This window comes from Homo sapiens, chromosome 11, assembly GCF_000001405.40.
Source record: "Homo sapiens chromosome 11, GRCh38.p14 Primary Assembly".
Classification (NCBI taxonomy): domain Eukaryota; kingdom Metazoa; phylum Chordata; class Mammalia; order Primates; family Hominidae; genus Homo; species Homo sapiens.
In genome coordinates, this window is record NC_000011.10 from 91,965,813 (window position 1) to 91,974,310 (window position 8,498).

Genomic DNA, 8,498 nt, shown 5'->3' on the forward strand with positions numbered 1-8,498 from the left:
AGAAATGCTACAGGAATTTCTGCCAGCTTAAACGTTGTAAGATAAAAACAGATCTACATAAAGAAAGGACGAACTCAGAAAAGAATAAGTTGTGGCAAAATAAAAAGGATTGGCTTTTTAAATTTTAATTTATTTGAAAAGAAAATGACTGAATCAATAATAATATTACTACAATATGTATCTATTATGTATAGAGAAATAAAATATATGAAAACAACAGCACAAAGAATAGGGTAAGTGGAATTGTACTATTGAAAGTTTTGTATATTTGTGAAATATAATTTTGGAAGGGTGAAGTGTAAAATATTTAATTATTAATATTCTAAGAAGACTCTGATAATTTAAGACTGTGAATACCATATGATAATCACTAGAGTAGCCAATTAAAAGTGAATTTAGAAAGCAAGAAACAATAGAAATATCTGATGATAGGTGAACGGGTAACTATTCTATTCAAACTATTCTAACAGGGAAACAGCAAAGGAACTAACATAACTAAATACATTTTTGTTTAAGAAGCCTCTAGCCATGCCTACATGTGGGCTAGGGTAATTTTAGAGCACTGAGATAATATGCAAAAAGACAATCACAGTTTTTAAAACTAACTCTGGGATTAAAGGGAAAGTGTGTAAAACATGTAAACAACTCTTTTGTTAAAGATTTATAGGAGCACTGGGACCTAACCAAGAAATTCCCAACCTCCTCAGGTCCTTGCTCATGCCCAGATGTCTGAGGTCATGGGTTAGCTCTTGATCTCAACCCCTTTCTCTTCCCCCTGCCCTTAACCTAAAAATAGCCTAACATTTATGTTGACTTAACATTGTACTTTAGGATGATAGTCTACCATCATCTTGGTTTGCTGGCTTTCCAAATAGACTCGCTTTTCCTCCCAACAACTCTTGTCTCTCCAGAGCTTTATTCTCAAGTGGCAAGCAACCAAACCTGGGTTAGGTTACACTATGATCTATTTATATAATTGAATAATAGTTAGAAATTGAAAATAAGTAAATTTCTGACACATAAAGCACGATAGATAAAATCCACAGACACTATTTTGACCCAAAGAAAGTAAACACAAATTCTAAAAAGTCTATGGTGATAGAAATAAAACCTGTGTTTTTGTGAGGTGAAGGGAGTATTTCAACTGCAAGGGCACAAAGAGAATATTCAAAAATATTTATAGGAGTAATATTTTATGGTTTTATAGAGCAGTTCTCAAAAAGTTCAGGAAAATGCATATTATAAAAAATTATGCATGAATTTTAATAATTTTTGCACCAAAATAAACTCATAATAACTTATTATAACATGTCTGAACAGATTCTATCTAGAGGCACTAAGAAGAATAAGACACCAGTTTGAAAACAGCCCCTATTGAGCAACATGAATTCTGCTAAACTTGAAGCAAGAATGAACAGCAAATATATTGTGAAACTTGGATGGAAGATTGGTGAAATCATTGATGATTTACAAAAGGTTTATTGGGACAAAGTCCCCCCAAAGTCAGCACTTTACAAATGGATAATTCATTTTAAGAAGGGATAAAATGATATGAAAGACAAAGCCCACACTGGCAAACCATCCACATCAGTTTGCAAGAACAAAAATTAATCTTATTCTTGCCCTAATTGGAGAAGACTGATGATTAACAGCAGAAACAATAGTGACCACCATAAACATCTGAATTGCTTCAACTTACACAATTCTGACAGAAAAATTACAGTTGAACAAACTTTCCATTCAATGGGTGCCAAAAATGTTGCATCTGGATCAGCTGCAGAAAACAGTAGAGCTTTTAACAAAATTTTTTAAAAAGTAGTATTAAGATCCTGCAGCATTCTTTGAAGAATTATAACAGGAGATAAAACATGGCTTTACCAGTATCATCCTAAAGACAAAGCACAATCAAACCAATGACTACCAAGACCTAAAGTGGTTCAATCAAAGTAAAGCCTAATCTAGACTGAAGGTCATGGCAAGTTTTTTTGGATGCTCAAAGCGTTTTGCTTGTTGACATTCTGGAGGAGCACAGAACAATAACATCTGCTTAGATGAGAGTGTTTTGAGAAAGTTAGCCAAAGTTTTAGCAGAAAATGTCCAAGAAAGCTTTACCGGAGTGTCATTTTCCTCTATGACAATGCTCCTGCTAATTCCTCTCATCAAACAAAGGAAATTGTATACAAGTTTTAAGGGGAAATCATTAGGATTCCACTGTACAGCCCTGATTTGGCTTTTCCTGAATTATTTTTATTTCTTAATCTTAAAAAAATATTTAAAGGATTCCCATTTTTCTTCAGTTAATAATGTAAAAAAAAAAAAAGACTGCATTGACCTGGTTACATTCCCAGGACAGTTATTTAAGGATGGACTCTGGCTGATGTCACTGAGTACAAAAGTGTCTTGAACTTGATGGAATTTACGTTAAAAAGTAAAGTCTATATTTTTTATTTTAATTATTTAATTCCATTTCTCCATGAACTTTTTGAGGTCCCCTCTTACACTTGTCAAAGCAGATTGATTAAACTGTGCACCTAAAATCTTTGCATTTGACCATGTGTAAATTGCATCTCAATAAAGTTGATTTTTTAAGATAACACTTTTTACATGTAAGGGAAACTAAAAGAATCACAAACGAAATGGAAAAATTACTCATAATTCCATCTCCCACAGATAATGATTTAAATTTTGATGTATGTATATTTTTATACTCACTCTTTCCATAAATTTCTCATATAGCATTTTGTGGCCTTTTTATGTTAAACTTTAGCAATGGTAAAAGTGTTTTGTGTAAAATGTTTTCTTCCAGTATTTTTAAAATGATTACATAGTGTAAATATAGCTAGATTAAACATTCACACAGATGTACAAAAATATTAAATATAGCAATAAATCTCAAAAAGATTTTTTTTATTTTTTATTGCAAATCTCTTTTTATTGTTGAGCTTTCATATTTACTGAGGATTAAGCTTTAAATTTTGCCAATTAAAAATATCACCATCCTCCTGTTTAAAACACTCATGTCAGAGTAATTTCTCTGTCTTAGGGTTTCATCTTGCTGCTCTTAAATTCTCCAATGGTAACAGTCTCATGGCATTACATGGGGGAAAATGGGCCTTTTGATGTATTTTCAGGTCCTTGCAGTATTCACTAGAGTAGAGCTTAGCCTAACTGGCCACTGGTTGTTCTTCACCAGAATCTGGTATTAAGTACAGCTAGTACCATCTGGCCTTTTGAGAATCATGCTATGACCAACTGCTGGGGACTGTGGACCTTGCCCTTGGATCCTCTTTGTTACTCTTTTATTTTCTCTATAATCAAGATTCTGGACATTGGTATAAAATATATTAAATCCTACCTATATGAGTTGAAAGTGTAGCTACTAATTTTAAGATAGAATTTTTTGAAACTCAAAGCAATGATTTCTTCTGTTTGTTTTCTTTCCATAGGCCTTAAGCTCAACCAGAAGGCCTGGCAGTAATGGAGGAAGGGTTTCAGGGGCAACACCAACCAAGAAGAGAAAATACATTTGATCAAATGTCAAAACAGCATCTGGTTTCAATAATATTCCATTGTACATCTGTATCAAAATGTGTTTAACCTACTTCCTATTGTCGTACATTTATGTCATTACCATTTTTTAACTATTATTATCTTAAATTCTAAAAGGGAATTTTGAAAAGACAAGCAATCAGGGCTTATAGAGAGGAGGTACAAAGATATGGATAGAAGAAAGCCCCTACCACTGCTCAATCTTCTTTTTCCTCCGGATGACTCAATATTCTTACTCTTGAGCCTTTGGCTTGCTTCACAATTAAGAATTCAGGGTAGAAATGTGTTTATCCATATTCCATCACAAGCTCTCTAACAAGTTTATCAGTGCTCCTGATATTGTGCCCACTTCCTCAGATACAGTGCCCGAAATATCTTGGCAGCTTAAGTCAGCAGTTCCCTATCTAGAAAAAAATATATATCTTCAATCCAAAATGACTTACTATTTTTAATAAACTAAATGCCAAGCATAGACTTCATAGACATTTTTAAAGGCATTTCAGGCATTTACACTTCCTCTTATTAAAAACCTAATATCTATTCTTTTTCCCCTAATCACCACACCTAATCCCTCTCCAGGTCTTGTAAGCTCTGCTTTCAAACTCCCTATCAAATCTTGTCCACTGCTCTTCATATCCAATCCCTTTATTCTAGTGTCAGCCACATCTATTTCTTCTCTGAACTTTGCAAAGCCTGAAGACAGCATGTATTCTTAGCCCCTACAACTTTCACATAGCAGCTAATCATCTTTTAAAAATAAGGTAGATGATGTCCCTTTTCTGTGTCAACCTGCAGTGTATTCTGAATAAGATCCAATTTACCAAGGTCTGTAAGGCAATGAGTGGCCTGGCTCCTGCCTACCTCACTTTATCCCTTATTTTCTTTGCACAAAGTAAGGTTTCCTTGCTTTTCCTGGAACACTGCAGGTTCTGCCCTGCCTCTGGGACTTCATACTTGCTTTCCTCTCTCCTCAATCCCCTGTGGTCAACATAGACTCCTTCCCGTCCTCAGGTCTCAAATTGTTACTACAGTTTGGACCCCGGGTTCTTTGGCTCTGGTGTAAGTAGAAATGAACACCAAGTCAAACAAATTTTTCTCAGGCAATGTTGCATAGGTATTTGTGGCTCAAATACAAAAGGGAGCGGCATACAGGAAAGAAATCTGGGTACCAGCTCCCTGAGGGGCTCAGCTCTTGTCATTTTAAGAAAAGTGAGGCTGGAAAAAGAATGCCATCCAAGCATGTTTAGGCAGGGTCTTTCCTGTGCTTGCACAGTGGGGTATCATGCTTTAACATGCATCACAGGACCAGAAAGTAGCAGATGAGCCCTGCCTTGGGCTGAAACTGTAGTACTACAATGAGATTACAATGAGGAAAAAGTCAGTGAAAGGTTGGCACTGGAGCCCATCTTGTCTTCAGGAAGCTGTATCTGGTGAGGTTCTTATCAGGAATGCCAAAGTCTTGCTTCAGCAACCTTGGAAGGCATCACTGAAAAGCTAGATGGTTATGTTCTTCCTTTTATGGCCAGAAATTCAACCTGGCCAGCTAAGTTAGGTAGAGGTCCCCCTTCCTGATCATGTGAGTTGGGTCAGCTTGTTAAGGGAGGCCAAAAAGTAGTGGAGGAATGTAAGAGCCATCAGGACATTGGTTACCCTGTCACTTGTCTACCAGGACTCAGTCTCTTCCTTGTACTGTCTCAAAATCAAAGGTCACCTTCTCAGGGAGGCCTTTTGTCATCAACCTAATCATTGGCTCCCTAAGAAACTGTCTTATCTCCCTCACATTAATCCTAAGTTATTTTTGTTGGTTTTGTTGTTTATTGTTTTACATCTGTTTCCAAGAGATTTTTAAGGTCTCTGAGGAAATGAAATTTTACTTATTCACTCCTGTATCCCTAATGCCTACCCAGAGCTGACACATAAGGGTCCTTAGTAAATACATGTTGAATGAATGTATGAACCACTTGGTTGTGATGATTCACAAGGTGTTGTATTTCTCACCCTGCGCCCCTTGACCAGCAGCATCCGCATCACCAGGGAACATATTAGAAATGTAGCTCTTGAACCCCACCTCTCCCAGATGTACTAAATCAGAAATCCTGGTAGGGTCCAGCCATCTGTGTTTTAGCAAGCCCTGCAGTCATGATTAGCTTTTCTATCTTCCCCATTTACAGATAAAGAATCTAAGAAAGTTTGAGTAATTGCCCACGTCAAAAAGTCATAGACCTAGGCTGCAACTCTGATTTCCTAGACCTTAACCACTGAACCATGGTTCCCTAGGGGGCTAAATAATTTAAATATCAATAGAATGAGATTTTTGCCTTCAGGATCAGTGCAATGTGTGAAATACTTTGATCAATAATTGTAGAATTGTGTGAAAATGGCTATTATCTGAGTTAGGTACAAAGTTGTATGGGAGAGGCAGGACAGGGAAACTGCCTGGAGTGATGAGAGAAAGCTTATAAACCAAGTTTCATTTTATGCATGTCTTTCCTAATAAGATGAGGACGAGTTAAACAGAAAAGGAACGGAATATGTAATTCCAGCCACCTTGAAGTGGGGTTTGAGGTGAACTGGGGAGAGTGACAGAAGAATTCTGAAAGACCACTGGAGTGGCCAGCCTCTGAGTGCCCCTAAACTATATCAGTCAGCTCAGGCAGCTATAACAAAATACCATAGACCAGGTGGCTGAAACTCTTCCCACAGTTTGGGAGGCTGAGAAGTTGAAGATCAAAGGGCTGGCTGATTCAGTTTCTCATGAGGGCTCTTTTCCTGGCTTGCAGATGGCTGCCTCCTCACTGTGTCCCCACATGGCCTTTCCTCAGTGCACACACATGGAGATGGAAAGACAGAAAGGCCTCTCTTTCTCTCTCTCTCTTCGTATAAGGCCACCGATCCTATGGCATTAGGACACCGCCCCACCCCCACGCCCTGCTGCCATACAATCTCATTTAACCTTAATTACCTCCTAAAAACCATATCTCCAAATACCATCACACTAGGGGCTAGGGCTACAACATATAAATTTGGTGGAGGGACACAATTCAGACCATAACATTCCACCCCTGCTCCCCAAATTTATGACCTTCTCATGCACAAAATACAATTATTCCACTCCAGTAGCCCCCGAAGTCTTGACTAATTCCGGAGTCAACTCTAAAGACTGAAGTCCAGAGTCTCATCTAAATCAAGTATGGGTGAGTCTCAAGGTAAGATTCATCTTGAGGCAAAATTTTTCTCTAGCTGTGAAGCTGTCTTTCGTGCTTCCAAATGACAGTGGTGGGACAAGTAAAGGATAGAGATTCCCATTCCAAAACCTAGCAGGGCAAATTTCATTAGATATTAAGGCTCTAGAACAACCCTCTTTGGCTTGGTGTCCCACCTTCCAGGCCCACTAGGGTGGCAGCATCACTGCCACAGCCCTTTGAAGGCAGTCTCATTCCTTCAGCTTGGTGAGGTGCCACCCTGCTGCTTTCTGCTACAGCATCACCCACACAGTTTTCCGCAGTGGCGCTTCTCTCTGAAACTGAACAGGAAACAGCCTTGCCCTGTGGACCTGTGAGGGGGGTGTCAACTCTGATGACCTTTGAATTGTCTTTGGGGTCATTTTTTCCTTTCCTTGAAGAATAGCACACATTCACAGCCAAATAGCTCTGTGGTACATTCCCATAAAATCCAGGTCCAATGGCCTTCCTTCATTCGGTCTGACTTTCTCTGTCCACTTTAGTTCAAACTGGCAGTGGCCCTGCTGGCACAATTCCATCTGCATTCCTGGGTTCTGCTGAGATGATTGATTAACATTGTAGTTAATCCCTGTATGGAGTAATTGTCCAGCTACACCTTTGGTGTTCTCTCTAGAATAAGCTTCATCATTTTTTATAATATGGATTGGCTGAGAATTTTGAAAATCTTTAAGTTCAGATTCCTTTTGGCTTAACAATTCTTTCTCAATACATCCCACTCCTCTAACATTTTACTATTAGCAATCAGGAGGAAGTAAAGGAACTAAGCTGTTTCTTCAACACTATGCTTATAAATCTGCTCCACTAAATATCCAATTTCATTGCTGACAGTTTTACCTTTCACAAAACAATAGAACAAACACAAGCCATGTTTTTTTTTTTACTTTATAATAGAGATTACCCTTTCTCCAGTTTCCCATAACCTATTCCTCATTCCTGTCTGAGACGTCAACAGAATAACCTTAAACATTATTTTTATCAACGTTATGTTCATGACAATATATGCTTTTTCTAGCATGCACCTCAAAACTCTTCCAGCCTCTACCCATTCCAGTTCCAAAGAAATTTCTACATTTTTAGTTAATTTGTTCCAGTAGCACCACTACTTCTTAATACCAAAATCTATAGTAGTATGTTAGGGTTGCCATAACAAAATACCACAGACTGGGTGGCTTAAACAACATTTATTTCCTGCAGTTGTAGAAACTGAGAAGTCCAAGTTTAAGGTGCCAGCAAAATGGGTTTTATTCATAGGCTTCTTTTCTGCCTTGCTTGTAAGCTCCTTCTTACTGTGTCCTCACATAGTGTGGTGAGAGTAGAAGAGAAAGAGCTCTTGTGCCTCTTCTTATAAGAATATCCATCTTATTGAATTAGGACCTTAGTCTTATGATTATATTTAACTTTAATTACCTCGGAAAGACTCTAACTCCAAAATACTGTCACACAGGGGCTTAGGGCTGCAACATATGGATTTGGGGAGGTCACAATTCAGTCCATAGCACATTCCTACTGAGTTTGCCCTTGATCTCAAGGAAAATAGGAAATTATTAAATAATTTAGTAAAAGGGCAATGACCAACAATTCTTTTTTTTAAATTCCTTCCCACCGAGGATATAACATTTACATTGTTAAAGTGTTCAGTATAATTCCAAAGAGAAGATTATCCAGCAATGCAAACATGAAGACTTTTGCCCAGCTGGAGTATGAAGC